A 22,500-nucleotide genomic window follows, 5' to 3' on the forward strand; every position below is an offset into this window, starting at 1 on the left:
CTTCCTGCATTTGTCTCCACAGTAGCTGAGACTACAGATGCACACCACCACACCTGGCTTTTTATTGATGTTGTTTTGAGACAAAAGCCTCTTCTGTTTTAAACTTGTAGTTCTAATGAATTCAACCAGTGTTATGACCTTTGGATTCCTATACATTATGCTTTTATTTTTTTACAAGCACCCCAAGATTAAGATAGCTAAATTGATAACTTCCCCTGAACTTCTTTACACTTTCTACATGCCTCTCTCTTCCATCACTATCTTGTCTAAAAATACATCATCTGTATAACATAAAAACTGAGGTATTCCAAATATATTATTTTCCCTCATATCTTTCATATTTTATCTACAATAACTTTTTTATTATATACCACTTACAAATTTTTTTTCTTGTTGCTGTTTATACATTCCAGTTGAGGTCATCATTCATTGTTCCCTAAATGATAGTATCAACATCTTAATTTATTTCCTACTTCAACTGATTTCTCACTGAGGGTCTAGAATTATTCTTCTTTTCAATGGATAAAACACATCTCTTTTCTTTTTCTTTCTATTCTTCTTCCTTTCTGCTTTACTATTAACTGTTATTGTATACAGTGAGGAGCTATTTCAGTGTTATTTACTATTATATCCACCATTTTAAGCTAAAATTCAGAGATATAATAACTTCTCTATAAGTGCTTAATATTATAGTAAAAAATGCAACTTTGTAATTTCAGTGTTAAATATTTGAATACCACGTCTATAGATTATTTATGAAACAAGATTTCAGTTGAGTTGCAGATAAGCTTATGTTAATTTTTTATTCACTCCTTCCATTTCTATCCATCCTAGCTATAAGACATTTAGAGGTGGGAACTTGGCATACTCTTCCCTATACTTGAGAGCCTGTTGAAGTCACATGAATAACGAAATGTACACTGACCATTTAATTCATATAACTAAATATAAATATTTTATATTTAAAATGTATTGAAAAGTTTTTATTGCTTAAATTTATTATGACAGTTATTATTTAGATTTTTCATTATTTAAAACTCAAACAATACAGGAAACAAACATGTAGGGAAATCTCAAGTAATTCATTATTTATTGTTCTTTTTATCACAGAAGACACAAGCCATCTCCTTACTGGTTAGGGCCATATTATCCAGAACCGTCAGAACATTTCACTTTTCATTTCCCATTGAAATCTGAGGAGTGTGTTTTGAACTCTATAGTGAAATGCCTACAACTACCCAGTGTAACTCTGTCTTCTTAGGAGGGTATGATTCTGCAAGATGAATATGATAATGTCCTAAAATATCACCCTTACATTTAATTATATAAAACACCACTAATGCAATAATAATACATGAGCTGAACGTTACATAGTCTAATTATAAAGTTAATTTTTACACTCAAATAGTTGAGTTAGAGACTGTGAGATTAAACTGGTGGAAGATGGAACTTAATTTTTTGTAACAACTACCATACCGTGGTGAAATGAATTAACTGAGCTCTTAATAATTTGGAAAATAATAAAGTTATATCTATTAAAATTACTAACAAAAACGTACATTTCTTAACTGTTTCTTATTATGTGAAAGACAGAATGGCTCTCGTGATAATGATGGAAGCAGCCTGAAATAAAATCTAACAAAACAGTCTGGACATGATGGCTCATGCCTGTAATCCCAGCACTTTGGGAGGCTGAGGCAGGTGGATGACTTCAGGTCAAGAGTTTGAGACTAGCCTGGCCAAAATGGTGAAACCCCCTTTCTACTAAAAATAAGAACATTAGCCAGGCGTGGGGGTGCATGCCTGTAATTCCAGCTACTCAGGAAGCTGAGATAAGAGAATCCCTTGAACCTGGAAGGCAGAGGCTGCTGGGAGCTGAGTTTGGACCACTGCACTCTAGCCTGTAGGACAGAAGGAGACTCCATCTCAGAAAACCTCTCTGAACATTAAAAAGCAAGGCAAATTTAATCAAGTTTCTATTTTATGCTGTCATTAGAGTTCATTGGGTTAAAAGTGCAGAGATATAAGGAAGAGAAAAAGACCTCAGACTTGACTTTTGGAGCTCTGGAATCTAATAACATAACTCAGGAGTGTGTTTAATGAAGAAAGACCTGACCTCTAAGTCTGGGCGAGACAGTATGTGTCATTTTAACTTCCCATCATCACCCACTCCATGGCTTCATGGCCACTGTGAAGAAGATTAAATTATAGATGCAGCTTTTGATGCATATGGGGAAAATAGAGAGCTTATCTCAAAGAATTATGGTTGTGTGATTTAAAATGTCTGAGGTTCCCTTGGAGATTATTAGCTCAGAGGCTTTTCTTTAGCCCACCTCAGAGCTTTCTTGTGGGCAGAAGTTGACTCCCAGGAGGCATTTATGGAAAGGAAATATACTAGTCAGAGCCACTTGCAGCAAGGAAAAAGAGTCAGGTCAAGCGGTACACAAACAAAAGGCCTGCAAGAAGAGTCTGGGAAGAAAATTGAGGCGGAAAATCAGCTTTGAAAAACTCTCACGGTTTATTGTTGTTTGTTTTGGATTAGGTTTTAAATAGAGACAGAACTTGCCCTGTGGCCCACGTTGGAGTCCGCTGGCATGATCGTGATCCACTGCAGCCTCAACTTCTTTGGGTTCAAATGAACTTCCCACCTTAGCCACCTGAGCATCTCGCCTATCTGGACTCCACCTATCCTCCCCTGTCAGCATCTCACAGCATAGGCATGGGCCACCAGAACCAGCTTATTTTTGTATTTTTTTAAGCAGAAGAGATCTTACCATGTTGTGAAGACTGGTCTCGTACTTCTGGCTGAAGTGATTTGTTCTCCTAAGCCTTCCAAATTGGTGGGATTACATATGTGAACCACCACACAAAGACTCCTACTGGTATATTTAGAAGGATATAAGTATGCCGGTTTTTGGATGCATGCATGGAGAAGACCCCAAAGCTTTTCACTTTTCCCTGAGTTTGGGCTAAACACTAGAGTTCCTCAAAGAGTCCATATCCAAAGTCTGGGCAGTTTTTCTTTTCTTTCTTTTCCTTTTTTTTTTTCTTGGATTGTTTTTAAAAAATATGTCGAGAATAGTAGACCATCAAAAAGGTGACAGAACACAGATTAAGTGGATATACAACACAAAGAATGCAGACCACAAAAATAGCTCTGGAGGGTTGCTACACAAGTAAACAACCCACAAACTAAGGAATTGTGGATGTTAAGAATTTGTTATCCAAATATGCTGAATACTATCCAATATTTCAATTCACTTCATTTTACTATTCTCAAAGACCTAAGGGAACCCAGGAGTACAGTGATTCAAAACTGAAAATACCAGTAAAGACATACAGATTATTTTAAAAATGAAATCAATAACCTTGAAGTTACTAGGAAGCTGTGTGATTGAAAGTCAGTCACTCAATCACATGATCCTGGGATTTTCCTCTACATGTGGGACTACCCATACCTTGCAGCATTGCTGTGAGTTCACCTGAGCAAGACACCTGCACATGGTGGTGCTCAGGAAATGTTAATTTCCCTTTATTGAAATGGAACAACCCATGGGTATTATGTCTTGAGGTCTGGATTACAGTTGAGCAAGATACAGAAGACGTTGTAAACCCTGAGGAGGCATCACTGATCACTGGGAGTCTGGAAAGGCAGCAGAGAAAAAGTGACCTGCAGCTGGAAATGGCCAATGGGTCTGTTACAGGAAGTTACACAGGCATGAGTGGGGCAGAAGAGAGTTCTCCCATCCACCTACCAGGAATGTCAGGCCATCGGGTAATGGTTGGACAGTTATCACATTGCTTTTCTAAAAATAATAATTTAGCAGCAGAGCCAGGGATAGACAAGTTCCTACTGATACACAGCTGGTAACATTAAAGTGTTAACTAAAGTCACACTCCCGGGAGGGGGAAAAAGGGCTTCTAGTAAAATTTTACATACTGGGTGAGTGAACTGAGACATGCACATTAAGAGACGAAATGGTACAGCATGACTTTCTGGGGTCACTCCACCAAAAAAAGGGAGGAAGCTTCAGATGGGCATGCATATAAATGCTCAAACACACTGCCTATGCTCACTTCTCAAGGGTAAGGAGGGCACTGTGCCTGCTGGCAGCCCACACTTAGGAAAGAATCATGGAAAAAGGTGCACCAGATGCTCAAGGTGGGCCAGCCTATAAAGTCCCAGAATGAAGAGAAATGGCCACACTTGTTCTTCAAGTCACCCACTTGGATCTCTTCCAAGTGCACTTTTCATTCTTTCCTGCTCTAAAGCTTTTTAATAAATGTCCACTCCTGCTGTGAAACTTGCCTCAGGATTTTTTTTCCTTCTTTATGCCCATCAGTTGAACTCTTTCACCTGAGGAGGCAAGAACTGACATTGCTAAAGACGCAGATGGATTTGCTGCCAGTAACTCCGATACTTTCCACCAGTAACAGATCTAGGAGCTGGTGGACATAGTTGCTGAAGCATGTGTCCAGAATGTTTCTGCCCAGGCCACAAGCAGTCCTGCACTGTAAAGGGACTTGAACCCCAAGCTCAGGGGACACCATGGAAAGAGACTTCAGCCCGCTGATGGAATACTGGAGATAGGAATTTTTTATTGAGGTATAATTCCCATAATATGTTAACTGTTTTTTAAGGTATAATTCAGTGACACAGGAATGTGCATGTTCTACCACTTCTTAATTCCAAATTATTTTCATCATCTCAAAAGGAAATCCCCTACCTATTAAGGAGCTACTACCCAATCTGTCCTCTTTCTGACTCCTGACAATTAACAATCTGTTTTCTTTCTCTGTGAAATTATTTATTTTGGATATGTTTATAAATAAAATCATACAATACGTGACTTTTGTGCTTAGCTTCTTTAAACACAATGGTTTTGCAGTATCTTCACATTGTAGTATGAATGTCTCAATCCTTTTTATGGCTAAATATTATGCCATTGTAAGGATATGCTACATTTTGTTTTCCTGTTATTTATTGATGGACATTTGTGTTTTTTCCATGTTTTAGTTATTGTGAATAATTCTGCTATCAATATATGTGTACACTTTTTTTTAATACCTACTTTACATTGTTTTGTGAATATACCTGGGAGTGGATTTGCTGGTTTCTATGATAATTCTATGTTTAGCTTTTTGCAGAAATATCAAGCTATTTTCCACAGAAGAGGAATTATTTTACCTTTGTGATTCTCCATTTCCATGTCAACACATTTTAGTTTATGGTTTTAAATAATAATAATTATAATGAGTGTGAAGTGGTGTCTTATTGTGGCTTTGATTTGCATTTCTCTGAGGTGAGTGATGTTGAGCTAATTTTTATGTGTTTTTTTGTGTATCTTTGGAGAAAAGTATTTTCAATTAATTAATTTATTTTTTTAATTGGATTGTTTGTCTTTTTGTTCTTGAGTTGTAAGAATTCTTTCTATATCCTGGATAGTAGACATTTATTCTTATATATGGCTTGCAAATATTTTGTCCTACACTGTTGGTTTTCTATTGACTATCCTGATAGTGTCCTTTGAAGCATGAAAGATTTTAGTTTTAAGGAAGTTCATTTTATCTATTTTTTTCTTTTGTTTTCTGTGCATTCTCTGTCCTACCCAGGAAACCATTGTCAAATTCAATGCCACTAAGCACATAAAAATATGTTCCACATCATTAGCCGTTAGGTAAACAAATATCTAAACCACAATGAGCTTACCACTTTATACCCACTAGAATGCCTTTATTTTTTATTTATTTATTTATTTATTTTGGAAAAAAGGAGAGTTGGAGAATATGTGGAGCAAATGGAACCCCTGTGCATTGCTGGTGAGAATGTGCAATGGTGGTGGTGGTTGCACGATAACATAAACATACTTAATGCCACTTACCTATACACCTACAAATGTTTAGATTGGTGAATTTTATTTTATGATTCTTTTACCCCATACAACAAAGGCTTCCTGAGAATTGGTCCTGAAATAGTTTAATGTGTAGTGAAAGAAGATCCTTCTCTTCTAGAGTGAGTAGGAGCCTTTTATTTTTCTTGAGACAGAGTCTTGCTCTGTCACCCAGCCTGGAGTGCAGTGGCGCAGTCTCCACTCACTGCAAATTCCACCTCATGGGTTCATGCCATTCTCCTGCCTCAGCCTCCTGAGTAACTGGGACTACAGGTGCCCACGACCATGCCTGGCTAATCTTTTTGTATTTTTTAGTAGAGGCAGGGCTCCATCGTGTTAACCAGGATGGTCTCTATCTCCTAACCTCGTGATCCACCCACCTCAGTCTCCCAAAGTGCTGGGATTACAGACATAAGCCACCACGCCAGGCAGAGTAGGAGCCTTTTTATTCACGCTGGTACTACACACTACTGGCTCTTCCAAACACATAGCATGATCTCACCAACCAGAGGGAGCTTAATTCTAACTGGCCCATTTGTACTTCTTTCCAACATCCTATTCCCCTATTCAACTCACTCCCTGCCCTCTACAAACCACTGTACATCAGAGGTCGGTTTACCTTCGCTGTAGACTTTTCATAATGTCATAGAAATGCGATCATACAGTACATGACATCTTCAGACTGGTGCTTTTTGTTATTATTGTTTTCTCATTATTCCATAATTGCTGCCAAAAGAAGCATGCATATGTTTTGCCACAGAAAACTGATCGTAGTCTGAGCTCTACTTAGTAAACATTAAAAAAAATATGCTAGTACCTATTGTGGCATTGATCCTGTTTTTTAATTGATGATTTCTACAATGAGATAGTAAGTTGTAGCTAATAAGACAATGTGCTGAATTAGTGTGATACTTCACTATGTAGAGATCTCATTCAACAAAGTGATTCCTTTACAGGTGTCTGCAGGGGTCTGTCCCACAGACCCTGACTCAATGGTGGGTGAATAAAGTACTCTGAAACGCAGATACTCTGCTTTGCCAGTCCAGCTGAGCATTTGGGCTGCTTACAGACTGCAGGCAGAGTGGTGTAAACATTTTTGACTGTGGCCCTGACCAACTACTAAGACTTGCATTTATTCAGTAACGACTAATTGACAAAGGCTTGAGTCAAAACCACTAAGGGGTAATTGACAGTGTGGACTTCTGATTAGAAAGAAATTAAGCACCTGTGGAAAGTCAAAGGATAGTCTTCAGACCTCACGAGTAAGCAAGCTAGTTACACAAACACCCCATATTCCTTTGTTTCTACTCTAACATATTTAAATAAAGGGAAAAGGCTGCCTTCATCCAAGTTTATTACTGGAGCTGATGCCAACCCCGCAGTCATTCCAGTAAGGTTTGCATCTGATAATTTTCCCCACCATCCTGACTGAACCCCCACAGATGTGAAAGCAGCAACAGGAATTGCTACAGTACAAACTAGTTTCTTTGGGAACTGAAAAAAACCATTGATTTCAATTTCAGTACATATTTTGCAACACTTAATATTTGATACAGAATAGAACTCTGGAGGTTTTCCTTCTTAAATCTGCTTTTTCAAAGTGAGCCAAAATGTGAAATCACATGATTTTGGTCTGTTAGTTTTTCCTTCACCTTTCACAATGTGGCACTGATTTTGATTGACATTTGAAGACAGAGACTAATTTATTAAAATATTTCTCCCTGTTCTTTTTCTTTTTGCTTTTAAACATCACAAGTGAAACTTCTGGTAATTTCAAGAGTGTACACTTTAAATAAGAATAAAAGCCAGTGGGCATCTGGCAAGATGGTTGAAAAAGAAAAGCTTTTGTTGGCAGCTCCCACAGAGACCAACAAAAGACCGGTAATTTCTGCATTTCCACCTAAGGTACCCAGTTCATCTCGTTGGGACTGGTTAGACATTGAGTGCAGCCCACAAAAGGCAGCAGATACAGGTGAGTGTTGCCTCACCAAGGAAGTGTGAGGGGCTGGGGACTTCCTCCCTAGCCAAGGAAAGCCATCAGGGGCTGTGCTATGAAGTCCACATCCTGCACATTTCTCACAGGTTTTGCAACTCACAGACCAGGAGATTCCCTAGTATGCCTATGCAACCACAGCCTTGGGTTTCAAGCACAAAACTGGGTGCCTGCTTGGGCAGAGGCTGAGATAGCTGCAAAAAAATATTATGTACCCCAGTGGCACCTGGAACCCCAGTGACAAAGAACCATTCACACCTCTGCAAAGGGGGCTAAAGCCAGGGAGCCAAGTGGTCTCACTCATCAGGTCTCACTCCCATGCAGCACAGCAAGCAGAGATGCACTGGCTTCAAATTCTCACTATCCACCTAGAAGTCTGAAGTCAACTTGGAATGATTAAGCTTGGTGGGGAGATGGTTGATCACCATTACTGAGACTTGAGTATAAGGATTTCCCCTCACAGTGTTAAGAAAGCTGCCAAGAAGTTTGGACTGCATGGGACTCACACAAGCAAGCAAAGCAGATGTGGCCAGGTTGGCTCTCTAGATTCCTCCTCACTAAGTAGGGAATCTCTGAAAGAAAGGCAGCAGCCCCAGTCAGGGACTTATATGTAAAAGTCCCATCTCTCTGGGAAAGAAACTGTGAGAAAAGGGATGGCTGGGAGTGCAGCTTCAGCAGACTTAAACATTCTTGCCTGCCTGCTCTGAAGAGAGCAGTGTATCTCCCAGAAGTGTGCTCGAGCTCTGCTCAGGGACAGACTGCCTTTTCAAATGTGTCCCTGACTCATGTGTCTCCTGACTAGAAGACACCTCCCAGCAGGGCTCAACAGATACTTCTACAGGAGAGCTCTGGCTGGCACCAGTTAGGTACAACTCAGGATCAAATCTTCCAATTACTGTTGTTCTGCAACTTCAGATGGTGACACCCAGGCAGACAGCATCTAAAGTAGACTGCCAGCAAACTCTAGCAGATCTGCAGAAGAGATGCCTGACTGTTAGAAGAAAAACTAACAAACAGAAATCAGTCACATCAACATCAACAAAAAGGACACACACACAAAACCCAATCCAAAGACTATCGGCATCAAAGATCCCAGGTAGATAAATCCACAAAAAATGAGGAATATCCAGCATAAAAGTGCTAAAAATTCAAAAATACTAGAATGCCTCTTCTCCTCCAAATGATTCCAAGCACTCTGCAGCAAGGGCACAAAAGTGGATGGGGAATAAGGTTGATGAATTGACAGAAGTAAACTTGAGAAAGTCGGTAATAACAAAATTCTCTGAGCTAAAGGAGCATGTTCTAACCCAATTCAAGGAAGATAAGAACCTTGATAAGTCATTACAGGAACTGCTAACAAAAATAACCAGTTTAGAGGAGAACATATATGACCTCATGGAGATGAAAAACACAGCGCAAGAAACATTGTGAAGCAAAAACAGGTATCAATAGCTGAATTGATGAAGATGAAGAAAGGATATTAGAGAATGAAGATCAACTTAATGAAATAAAGGATGAAGACAAGACTAGAGAAAAACGAATAAAAAGGAACAAACTAGCCTCCAAGAAATATGGGACCATGTCAAAAGGCCAAACCTACAATTGATTGGTGTACCTATAAGTGATGGGGAAAATGGAACCAAGTTTGAAAACACACTTCAAGGCATTATCCAGTAGAACTTCCACAACCTAACAAGACAGGCCAACATTGAAATTCAGGTAATACAGATAACACCACTAAGATACTCCTTGAGAAGAGCAACATGAAGACCTATAACTGTCAGATTCTCCAAGGTTGAACAAAAATAAAAAATGTTAAGGACAGCCAGAGAGAAAGGTCAGGTTACCTACAAAGGGAAGCACATCAGAATAACATCGGCTCTCTCTGCAGAAACCCCACAAGCCAGAAGAGAGTAGGGGCCAATATTCAGCATCCTTAAAGAAAAAAAAAAATTCAACCTAGAATTTTATATTCAGGCAAACAAAGCTTCATAAATAAAACAAAAATAGAATTGTTACAGACAATCAAAGGTAGATGGTTTTTGTCATCACCATGCCTGCCTTAGACAAGCTCCTGCAGAAAACAGTAAATATGGAAAGAAAAAACCTGTACTCACCACTGAAAAAAATGTCAAAATATAAAGACCAACAACACTATGAAAAAAGTGGATCAACTAGTATGCAAAATGACCAGCTATTATTGCTATGCCAGGACCAAATTGACACATAACAATATTAACCTTCGATGTAAATGACCTAAGTTTGCCAATTAATGTACACAGACTGGCAAATTGGATGAAGAGTAAAGACCCTGTGTTATTCTACATTCAGGAGACCCATCTCATGAGTGAAGACACATGTAGGCTCAAAAGAAAGGGATGGAGGAATAGTTTCCAAGCAAATGGAAAGTTAAAAAAAAAAAAAAGGATTGTAATCCTAGTCTCTCCTAAGACAAACTGTAAACCGACATAGATCAAAAAAGACAGAGTAGTTGCATAATGGTAAAGGGATCAATGAAACAAGAAGAGCTAATGATCCTAAATATATATGAACCTAATACAGTAGCACCCAGATTTATAAAGCAAGTTCTTAGAGACTTACACAGCCTAGACTCCCATACAATAATAGTGGGAGACTTTAACACCCCACTATCAATATTACACAGATAAATGAGACAGAATATCAACAAGAATACTCAAGACTTGAACTCAGCTCTTGACCAAGCAGAGCTAATAGATATCTACAGAAGTCTCCACCCCAAATCAACATAATGTACATTATTCTCAGCACCATATAGCACTTATTCTAAAATTGAGTACATAATTGGAAGTAAAACACTCCTCAACAAAAGCAAAAGAACAGAAATCAAAACAAACCGTCTCTCAGACCAGGGTGGACTAAAATTAGAACTCAGGATTAAGAAACTCATTCAGAACTGCACAACTACATGGAAACTGTAAAACCTGCTCCTGAATGACAACTGGGTAGATAACAACGTTAAGAAAGAAAGAAGTTGCTTGAAACCAGTGAGAACAAAGACACAACCTACCAGAATCTCTGGCACACAGCTAAAGCAGTGTTAAGAGGAAAATTAATAGCACTAAATGCCCACATCAGAAAGTGGGACAGATTTAAATCAACACTCTACAGTCAGAATGAAAAGAACTAGAGAGACGGGCATGGTGGCTCCTGCCTGTTATTTCAGCACTTCGGGAAGTTGAGCCAGGCAGTTAGCCTGAGTTCATGACTCCAAGACCAGCCTGGACAACCAGCATGGTGAATCTCTGTCTCTACAAAAATGTAGCCGGGCAAAATGGTGCACAACTTTAATCCCAGATACTCAGGAGGGTGAAGTTGGGTAATCTCTTGAACCCAAAAGATAAAAGTCGCAGTAATCTGAGGTCGCACCACTCCACTCCAGTGTGGGTGACAGTATGAGACACCTTAAAAAAATGAAAGAAAGAAAGAAAGAAAGGAAAAGAACTAGAGAAGCAAGAACAAACAAATTCAAAACCTGACACAAAAAAGAAATAACTGAGTGCAGAGCGTAACTGAAGGTGATAGAAACAGGAAAATCCTTCCAAAAATCCATGAATCCAAGAACATTTTTGTTGTTGCTGTGAGGATTAACAAAATAGATAGACTGCTAGCCAGACTAATAAAGAAAAAAGAGAGAAGAACCAATTAGACACAGTAAAAAAAAGGACAATGGAGATGTAACCACTGATCCCTAGACACACAAACTACCATAAAAGAATACTGTAAACACCTCTATGCAAATAAACTAAAAAATCTGGAAGAAATAAATTAATTCCTGGACACATACACCATTCCAAGACTAAATCAGAAAAAAAGTAGAATCCCTGAAGAGACCAACAAATTCTAAAATTGAGGCAGTAATTAATAGCCTACCAAACAAAAAATTGCCAGACCAGAGAGATTCACAGCTGACTTCTACCAGATGTGCAAAGAAAAGCTGGTGCTATTTCCTTCTGAAACTATTCCAAACAATAGAGAAAGAGGGACTCCTCCTGAACTCATTTTATGAGGCCAGCATCATCTTACTACCAAAGCCTGTCAGAGACGCAACAAAAAGAGAAAATTTCAGGCCAATATCCCTGATGAAAATTGAAGTGAATATCCACAATAAAATAATGGCAAACTGAATCCAGCAACACATCAAAAAGCTTATCCATACGATCAAGTCAGCTCCGTCCTTAGATTGCTAGTCTAGTTTCAACATATGCAAATCAATAAACATAATCCAGCATATAAAGAGAACCAATGACAAAAACCACATAATTATCTCTATAGATGCAGAAAAGGCCTTTGGTAAAATTCAACATCACTTTTTGCTAAAAACACTCAATAAACTGGGTATTGATGGAATGTATCAGAAAGTAATGGGAGCTGTTTGTGACAAACCCATAGGCAATGTCATACTGAATGGGCAAAACCTGGAAACATTCCCTTTGACAACCTAAAACAAAAGGCACAAGACAAGCATGGCCTCTCTCACCACTCCTATTCAACATAATATTGAAGGTTCTGGCCAGGACAATCAGGCAAGAGAAAGAAATAAAGGGTATTCAAATAAAAATAAAGGAAATCAAATTGTCCCTGTTTGCAGATGACATAGCTGTATCTTTAGAGTACCCCATTTTCTCAGCTCTGTACTCCTTAACAATAGACAAGGAACTTGTCTATTGTATATGTTTCTTAAGCTTGTAAAGAACACCAGCAAGGTCAGGCTACAAAATCAATGTGCAAAAATCACAAGCATTTCTATAAACCAATAGTAGACATACGAGAGCCAAATCATGAGCGAACTCAAATTCACAATTGCTCCAAAGAAAATAAAATTACTAGGAATGCAGCTTACAAAGCATGTGAAGGACTTCTTTATGGAGAGCTACAAACCACTGCTCAAGGAAATAAGAGAGGACACAAAAATATGGAAAAAAAATTATGTTCATGGACAAGAAGAATCAATATCGTGAAAACGACCATAGTGCTTAAAGTAATTCACACATCTACAATGATCTGATCTTCGACAGGCCTAACAAAAGCAAGCAACGGGGGAAGGATTCCCTGGTACTGGGAAAACTGGATAGCCATATGCAGAAAGCTGAAACTGGATCCCTTTCTTATAGCTCATACAAAAATTAACTCAAGATGAATTCAAATCTTAAACGTTAAATCTAAAACCATAAAACCCTAGAAGAAAACCTAGACAATACCATTCAGGATATAGGCATGGACAAAGGCCTCATGACAAAAACACCAAAAACAATGGCAACGAAATCCAAAATTGACAAACGGGACCTACTTCAATCAAAGAGCTTCTCCACAGCAAAAGAAAATATTGTCAGAGTGAACAGGGGACATACAGGATGTGAGAACATTTTTTCAACCTATCCGTCTGACAAAGATCTAATATCCAAAATCTACAAGAAACTTAAAAAGATTTACAAGAAAATAAAAAACAGACAAACCCCATCAAAAAGTGGGCAAAGCAAATGAACAGACACTTCTCAAAAGAAGACATTTAATCAGCCAACAAACATACATAAAAAAAGCTCGGCGTCACTTGTCGTTAGAGAAATGCAAATCAAAACCACAATGAGCTATCATCTCACACCAGTCAGGATGGCGACCATTAAAAAGTCAGGAAACAACAGATGCTACTGAAGTTGTAAAGAAATAAGAATGCTGTATACTGCTGGTGGGAATGTAAATTAGTTCAATCATTTTGGAAGACAGTGTGGTGATTCCTCCAGGATCTATAACCAGAAATACCATTTGACCCAGGAATCACATTATGTGGTATACACCCAGAGGATTATAAATCATTCTGCTATAAGGAAACATGCACATGTATGTTTATTACAGCACTACTCACAGACAAGAAAGACATGGAACAAACCCAAAAGCCCATCAATGATAGACTGGATAAAGAAAATGTGGCACATATACACCATGGAATACTATGCAGCCACTAAAAAGAGTAAGTTCATGTCCTTTTTCAGGGACATGAATGATGCTGGAAACCATTATTCTCAGCAAGCTAACACGGGAACAGAAAAGCAAACACTACCTGTTCTCATTCATAAGTGGGAACTGAACAATGGGAACACAGGGAGGGAAATATCACACAATGGGGCCTGTCGGGGAGTAGGGGGCAAGTGGAAGGAGATCATTAGGACAGATACCTAATGCATTCAGGACTTAAAACTTAGATGATGGGTTGATGGGTGCAGCAAACCACCATGGCACATGTACAACTATGTAACAAATCTGCATGTTCTGCACATGTATCCTAGAACTTAAATTATAATTAATAAAAAAAGTCGGGATAAATAACAAATCAAATAGTATCCATGAATTTATGATGACTCCCTATTTGGTTTTTACTAAATACTTTTTCTGTGTTTTGTGTCTCCAAGAAAGCAAAATAACAATGCATTGTACCAAACATTTTAAAAGAACTTACTAAAAAGCAATTCGAGTCAATCAATTCTTTTATCTCTTAATGAAAACAAGTGTGGGTTAAAAACCAGCTCTCCTAATGCTTGTCAGTGCCTCAAGGTGCTTAGGATAAAAATAAAACTTCCAAACTAAGGACACTTGGCAGCCTCCAGAACTTTAAGAAAAGCTGAGATATAAAGTATCCAGCCTCTGGCTCTTTCTGGGACAGCATGTCCAGTACCTTGGGGGCCCCTGGGCCCTGAAGGAAGGGCGGAGGTCGGGTAGGTGAGGGTGGTCTTTGGAGCCACTGCGGCTACTCATGGGACAGGTTGGAGTCTCAGCCTTCAGCAGAAGCAGCAGGCTTTCAGCCAGCAGTGTTTGGGGTGCCTGCCTGTTTTCCATCTCTATGTGATGTATCTGCTCAGGTTTTTACCCTGGACTTGGGTTGCTTATCTTTGTCAGTTTTAGAGTTTCTGTGAACTTTGTGCATACAAGTCACTTTTCAGGTGAGTTTGCTACATTTTTCTATCTGTGGCTGGTTTTTTGGTTCTCTTAACCAGATTTTTTTTTTTTTTTTTTTTTTTGAGGCAGAGTTTCATTCTGTCGCCAAGGCTGGAGTGCAATGACCCAATCTAGGCTCACTGCAACACCTATCTCCCAAGTTCAAGGGATTCTCCTGGCTCAGACTCCTGAGCAGCTGGGATTATAAGTGCATGCCAGAAATTCCAGTTAATTTTTTGTATTTTTAGTAGAGATGGGTTTTCACCATGTTTACCATGCTGATCTGGATCTCCTGACCTCAGGTGACCCAGCCGCTTCGACTTCCAAAAGTGCTGAGATTACAGGCTTGAACTGCCATGCCCAACTGTAGAAGGGTATTTCACAGAGTAGACATTTCAGCTTTCAATAAAGCCACTATTATCCTTTTTTTTTTTTCATGGACTTGCTAATAACTCATTACCAAACCCAAACCCATGAGGACATTTTCCAATTACAACTTTGCATTGAAAAATTTTAATGTATGGCTATTTTTGACTATTTTTTTTAGCTATGAAATTTGTATATATGTCCATTTGTTTCCATATAGTTTCCAGCTGTTTTCTTGCCCCTTGTGGAATAGACTTACCGTTTCCAAATTTTTTACATTTTTTTGACATGTTTGTCACAATTTTGACAAATTTTTTTTACATTTTTGACAAAATCAGTTGACTTGGGCCTGTGTGGGGGCTGTCTATTCTGTCCACTTAACTACTTGTCTGTTAAATCATCAATGCCACACTCTTGTTTGCTAAGCTAGCTTTAGTGTAAGTATTCATATCCATATGTGTAAGTCCTTTAGCTTTTTTCTTCTTCAGTCTTATTTCATCTATTCTAGGTTTAGGAAGAGATTGTTGATATATTTGCCTGGAATTTGATTGGGATATGACTGAAATATTAATACATGTGTACTTCTCCAGAACAAGACACATCTCTTCCTTTATTTATTTATTGAGAAAGAGTCTTGCCGTGTCACCAAGATTGGAGTGTAGTGGCACGATCTCCGCTCACTGAGATTCTCCCACTTCAGCACCACAAGTAGCTGAGATCACAGGCATGCACCACCAAGCTCAGCTTAATTTTTGTATTTTTGGTAGAGATGGGGTTTCACCATGTTCCTCAGGCTGGTCTCTAACTCGTGGACTCAAGTGATCTGCCCACTGTAACCTCCCAAACTGGTGAGATTATAGGCATGTTCCACTGTGCCTGGCCTGTATGCATTTACTAATATTTCTTTTGATTTCTCTCAGTTGTGACTGATTGTTTTCTGAATGAACTTTGCCTATTTTGTTACATTTATACTTAATGGATTCAATTTTGTAGGAAGTATTGTAAATGGTGGTTAAGTATTTCAAATTCCAATGATTTCTATTCATTATTGCTGATATAGAGAAAATCAACTGAGTTTTGTCTATTGACGATCTTCTTTGCTTCTTTTTATATCCATTCAAGGTATGGGAAGGTTGGCTCTATTTCACTTCCACTTCCTGAGATGACCGCCTGGATTAACCCACCCTGAATTTCAAAGATTTCCCAGGGCTACTACCGGGGGAGGGGGCATGGGGCAGATGCACTGAGCTTGCAAACCAACTCTCTGAGGGGCAGGGTGTTCTCACAGTGACTTGGACAGAGATTCCTTCTCCTCAGGACACACCCAGAAGAGGCCGTTGTTTTAGGGTACCTGGGGAACCTATGGCCACGTTCATGGTGCAGACTAATGCTACTTCATTTCAGGACCCACCCAACAGTGGCCTCAGCTTGGGGACATCTGGAGTCGCATCCACCATGAGGACGAAGCCTCCTTCTCTTCTGGACCTGCCCAGGAGTGGCCGTTGCTACAAGACCTCTGTTGCTACGTCCAGGGTGAGAATAAAGACTTCTCCTCAGGACTCTCCCAGGAGAAGACATGGCATTGAGACATCTGGTGGCCAGGTGAGGAAAAGACACCCTGTCTGCAGCACCCAATACTGATGAGGGGCACTGTCCTGGGCCTTACTTCCCAGTCCTGGCCTCCACTTCTGACTTTACAAAAGTGTCCCTTGAGTGAGGCAGTGACCACGCATTTTAACGGCTACCAAAGTGTGGTTTGCAGATGATCTGGACTTGTTTCTGGGGGTAGAGTCTGTTACAGAGAAAGGAGAGGTGCTGAGTGGAGCCACCGTGACAGGCTCTATCAATACTTTTTTTCGTGCTTTAATGACTCATTTTTCTTAGAGAACTAAAGTATATAGTTGAAACAATATAGAAAAATTTTAAGTAGGCATATTAGAACTCGAATTATTATTTAAATTTAAATATATGATGTATGCCTGGTTAGCAACATTTTTTCTTTTCCTGAGACAGTCATAGTTTAACTGAGAATGCATTGGTAGTGATAATGAAAATGTCTGTTTTATAAGGATTGACATCCTACATTAGCTGAGATATACTAACAATATCAAACTTTGATATTATACCATAAAATTAATTGAATTCTGAGCCAAATATGAGTGACAAATGGTCCATGACACAGCCCTACTCTGGAGATCCTGAGAACATGTGCTCCAGGTTGTGTATTCACAGCCTACATTTATGCATTTTAGGGAGACATGAGACATCAATCAAACGCATGAAGATGTACATTGGTTTGGTCCAGAAAGGACGCACAACTTGAAAATAGCCATGGTGCAGGTCTGGGCTTTCAAGTTACAGGTAGATTTACATATATTTTACTTGGCAGTTGGCTGAAAGAGTTAAGTTATTATCTAAAAACATGGAATCAGTAGATGGGAATGACTGGGTTACAATAAATAATAAAGGCTGTAGAGACCAAGTTTTATCATGATGATGAATCCTCCATGTAGCATGCTTGAGAGAATAAGAGGTAAATATTTCTTATTAGACTTAAGGTATAGGTCGCTGTTAATGATGGTCAACTTTTTCTAAAGTTCAAAAGGGAGGAGCGTGTAATGAAGCATGTCGGTCCCTCTTTCCTGTCAGGACCTGAACCAATTTAGGAATGCCCCTGGTCAAAAGGAGGGCTCTATTCTGATGCCTGTGGTGGGGGCGGGGGAGGAGGGGCAGAAGAGTTATTTTTTTTTTTTACAAGTGTTTCACTTCTGTTTACAAAAGTATAACCTTCTAAATTGTTATAAATTATAATTAGTCTAAGACCTAAAAGGGATTTCTTTCATCAAAAAAAAAAAAAAAAAAATAGAACATTAAAAAACCTAAGCCACGACACCTTGCCAGATTATTTTTTTCTTTCTGTTTCTACAGTTGCCAAGGATGCTTTGCTTATAAGTCATATAGTTGACTCATTGACCATCTGGGTATAGTTCTGTTGCTTCTTCCAAAATTGTACCTAGTAACCTTCAAAAATTGTTATGAAAAAGTGTCTTAAATTGTAGAAATAAACAAAATGAAAAGACACTTTTAAACAATGCTGGGATTTATCAAATGACAGAAGAAATTTCTACTGTTTTTTTTTCTTTTTGAGACAGGGTCTCACTGTGTGGCCCAGCCTGGAGTGCAGAAGTGCCGTCATGGCTCACTGCAGCTTCTAACTGCCTAGCTCAATTAATCCTCTGTCTTAGCCTCAGTCACCATGTCTGGCTAACTTTTTGTATTTTTAGCAGAGACAAAGGTTTGCCATGTTGCCTGGGCATGTCTCAAACACCTGGAATCACAAGATTTGCCTGCATTGGCCTCCAAAAGTGCTGAGATTATAGGCATTGATAAGACATTTATGTTAGGGTTAGATAAAAATCAATATTTTGGCTAAGTTATGAAGATGCATATAATGCAATTATTAATTTATGCCTAATTTTCATCATTTTCTTTCCTTTTTTTTTTTTGAGACGGAGTCTTGCTCTGTCACCCAGGCTGGAGTGCAGTGGCGTAATCTTGGCTCACTGCAGGCTCCGCCTCCCGGGTTCACGCCACTCTCCGGCCTCAGCCTCCTGAGTAGCTGGGACTACGGCCGGCTACTTTTTGTATTTTTAGTAGAGACGGGGTTTCACCATGTTGGCCAGGATGGACTCCATCTCTTGACCTCGTGATCCCCCCGCCTCAGCCTCCCAAAGTGCTGGGATTACAGGCATGAGCCACCATGCCCAGCCAATTTTCATCATTTTCAATGTCAACATTACTCATTTTAAAATCATACTCAAGGCATAAGGCAAAACCACTTATGAACTGGCATATTTGTTTATTTCTCTGTGAAAATGTCCTTAGTTTGTTCACAGTACAAAAAAAATTCAATTATGTTATGCAAAAAACAGAAGAGAATCTTCTTTGCAATTAATTTTATAGTTACCTTGATACAGGGAATGTACTATCTATAAAAAATAAATGTTAACTGAACTACAGTTAGTTAAACACTGAAAAAAATTAAGTTTATTATATTTTATTTTATCCTATCAATTAATTGTATTTATATACAATCTAGAAAGTTACAGCCATCAACAGTTCTAATGCAGTTTCAGGTGAAATGGGAATTTGGAAATCTCTGTGGAGCTTTAGGTGTAGTGAAATATTTAGGTAAAATATGTGCATGCTTTTGGCAGCACTTGTGAAGGGATGTCTCTCAAATTGACCTCAATACTTTCCTTCTCAGCAAAATGACCTGGGCCACTCAACATGGCTTTCATTGTTGTTGATGTTCGTGCATGTTCGCCTTTTACCATAAATTTTTGACTCTGAAGATATCCATTTGACATCGTGGCTTTAGGGCTTTCAAAACCACTGTAGGTTTTCTACTCTTCATCCACCACGTACTTACATAATTCTACTTTGATTCCCCAGGAACTTGACTACTTTCTGGTTAGCCCTATGGCCAGTGCAGCCCAGCTCCCAGTGTAGCAGCACTGACTCGACTCCAGGGCTATCCCCCACACCCAGCTTGTGGCTCCTATGGGTTCCAGGGAAGTTGGAAGACAGGCTGCTTGTTGTTTTCACAAATAAAATTGTTGTATTAATTTCATTTTCATATGGTTTATTACTAGTGTACAGAAGTAGATTTTATTATATTGATATTTTATAATGTATGTTTGTTTAGTTTGTTTACCAGATGTCATGATTTCTTGTTGGTTTCTTATGATTTCTTTATAGGAGATCATAAGACCCAAGGGTAGATAGTTTTACTTTTTTTATTTTTATTTTTCCACATATGAATGGCCAAAACAATTGGAAATATATACATATTTTGCTAGAATATCCATCCAAAACAATTGGAAAAATATATATTCACATATATATTTATATATAAATATCTATATGTAAAAATATATATAATAATATATGTGCATATAAATATTTGTATATGTATATATGTGTATATATAAATATTTATATGCACATATACTACATATATCATATATATATATATATTTCCAATTGTTTTGGATGGAAATTCTAGTACAGTGTAGAATACAGTGATGAAATTTAGCATCAATGCTTTGTTCCTCATCTTAAACTTTGATTCCCAACAATTCAGATGCTGATTGTTACAGGTTTTGCACAAAGACGTGTTATGTGAAAGAAATTTGAAGCACAGTTTATTGGATGTTGTTATCATTAAACACGTTGACTAACTTTAAGTATTTTCCATAACAGTTGAGATAAACATGTACTGTTTTCCCATGATTTAGTTTACATGGTATATTGAAAAGGGATGGCTTCAGAATGTTGAAAAACCCTCAATTTTCAAAACAAACAAACAAACAAACAAACAAACAGAAAAATCTTAATCATTGAGGTGCATAATGTCTTCCCCATGTAGCAAATTTCAGGTACTAGTTTTTGGTTAAACATTATAATGACTTTAATTGTCATATTTCTTAACATTTAGTGTTTTGTCCTAGTGATATCATCTGTTTAATTCAATTTTCAATTGGAATTAATGAGAGGTAAGGTTTAGTGTACTCTTAAGGGCATTAGGGGTTAGAGGATAGAGTCAAAGGTTATATATTTAAAATTATTTTGAAGGGTGATATGGTAATACTAAGGATGGGAGAGAAGTTTGGGATTAGGAATAGGGGTTTACAATTGCAGAAAAAAGGTTAGATTGAGGGTTAGGTCTGGGGTTGACTTAAAGGTTCGTGTGGTGGTAGGATTAGGGTTATGGTTAGGATTAGAATTTGGGACCGTTGTCGAGGTTAAGGTAACGTTTAGGGCTAGAGTTAGAATCAGGATTAGAAGTTAGGTTTGGGTCAGGTTATGCTTAGGCTTAGGGTAAGAGATAGGCTTACAGTTAGATGTTGGGGTTAGTGGAGGGTTAGGTTCTGGGTTAACTCCATGGTGAGGGTTATGGTTAGTGCTAAGGGTGAGAACTAAGGCGACAGTAAGGGTTAGGGTAAGAGGGTTAGTGTATTAGCGTTAGGGTTTGGGTTTACTGTTGGTGTTAGGATAAGAATAAGGATTTGGTTTAGGGTTTAGAGTTCAGGTCCTGGTTAGGGTTTCAGGTTAGCATTAGGGTTAGTGTTTAGGGTTCAGTGTTAGTTTTAGGGTTATTGTTTAGCACTTAGGTTTAGGTTTAGGGTTGGTTGAGGGTTAGGATAAGGGGTTAGGGTTTGGCATAGTGTTAGAGTTTAGAACTCTAGGATAAGGGGTTAGGGTTAGGTTTAGGGTTGGGTTAGGTTAAGGGTTAGAGCTTAAGGTTAATGTTGGGACTGGATTTATTGTATAGGATCATAGTTTGGATTTAGATTTTAGTGTTAAAGCTAGGGTCAGATTACTGTTTGGGTTACGTGTTTGGGTTAGGGTTTATGATTAGGCTAAAATCAATGTTTAGTATTAGGTTTAATATCAGGGTTTAGGGTATGGCTAGGGTTAGTGTTCTAGGTTATTTGGGTTAGGATTAGTGTTAGGGCTTTTGGGAGTTAAGGTTAGTGTTAGGGGTTACATTTAGGTCTAGGATTAGGTTTACATTTTAGTGTTTGTGTTATGGTTATGATTAGTTGTGAAAATAGGGGTGGGTGTAATATTTTGGGTTAACTTTAGGTTTAGGATTAGGTTTACATCTTAGTGTTTGTGTTATGGTTATGATTAGTTGTGAAAATAGGGGTGGGTGTAATATTTTGGGTTAACTTTAGGTTTAGGTTTACTGGTAGAGGTTTTAGCTTAGGGTTAGTGTTAATTGTGAGGGCTAGGTTGAGGGTTTAGTGTGTATGCTTAGGTTTAATGTTAGGTTTTGTGTTAGCATTGATTCCTACTTTTAGTTTCAGGATTATGGTGATGTTTATGTTAAGATTATGGTTAGGTTTATTTTTTAAGCTGATGGCTTTGGTTAGGGATAGTGTTAGGTTTTGGGTTGAGTTGCGGTTGGAGTATGCATAGGGTTAGGGTTAGTGTTAGTGTTACAGGATAAGGCTATGGTTAGCGATTAGGTTTAGGGTTAATGGGTTAGGGTTATGGCATAGGTTTAATGTTAAACTTAGTGGTTAGGGTGAAGCTTAGTTTTAGGCTTTAATTAGCGTTAAGGTCAGCATCTGGGTTCAGCATTACATGTTAGAGTTTAGGTTAGGTTTTATTGTTATGGATTAGTCTTTAGGGTTGTTGTCAGCTTTAGGATTTTGGAATTAGTGGTTGTGTTTGTTTGCAGTTGGTGGTGTGTTTGCATTTAGGGTCAAG

General features: G+C 38.4%; 1 protein-coding gene, 1 long non-coding RNA gene and 2 pseudogenes across 2 annotated transcripts in view; 3 read left to right on the forward strand and 1 right to left on the reverse strand.

Moving 5' to 3' along the window:
- The window catches only part of LOC124905304 (uncharacterized), a 33,826-nt gene extending 28,976 nt beyond the window's left edge, over positions 1 to 4,850 (forward strand). Inside the window, exon 9 of the long non-coding RNA XR_007068457.1 lies at positions 2,543 to 4,850. This is a non-coding gene — a long non-coding RNA (uncharacterized LOC124905304). The remainder of the gene's footprint in view (positions 1 to 2,542) is intronic.
- Positions 16,242 to 16,707, forward strand: PRYP5 (PTPN13 like Y-linked pseudogene 5; annotated as a pseudogene).
- HSFY1 (heat shock transcription factor Y-linked 1) overlaps positions 16,627 to 22,500 on the forward strand; it is a 59,321-nt gene continuing 53,447 nt past the window's right edge. The window contains exon 1 of the mRNA XM_017030085.3: positions 16,627 to 16,821. Within this exon, the coding sequence (XP_016885574.1) occupies positions 16,796 to 16,821 (26 nt within the window). The 5' untranslated portion in view covers positions 16,627 to 16,795. The remainder of the gene's footprint in view (positions 16,822 to 22,500) is intronic.
- On the reverse strand, positions 19,310 to 19,640 carry ELOCP7 (elongin C pseudogene 7; annotated as a pseudogene).

The sequence above is a fragment of the Homo sapiens genome, chromosome Y (assembly GCF_000001405.40).
Source record: "Homo sapiens chromosome Y, GRCh38.p14 Primary Assembly".
NCBI lineage: Eukaryota > Metazoa > Chordata > Mammalia > Primates > Hominidae > Homo > Homo sapiens.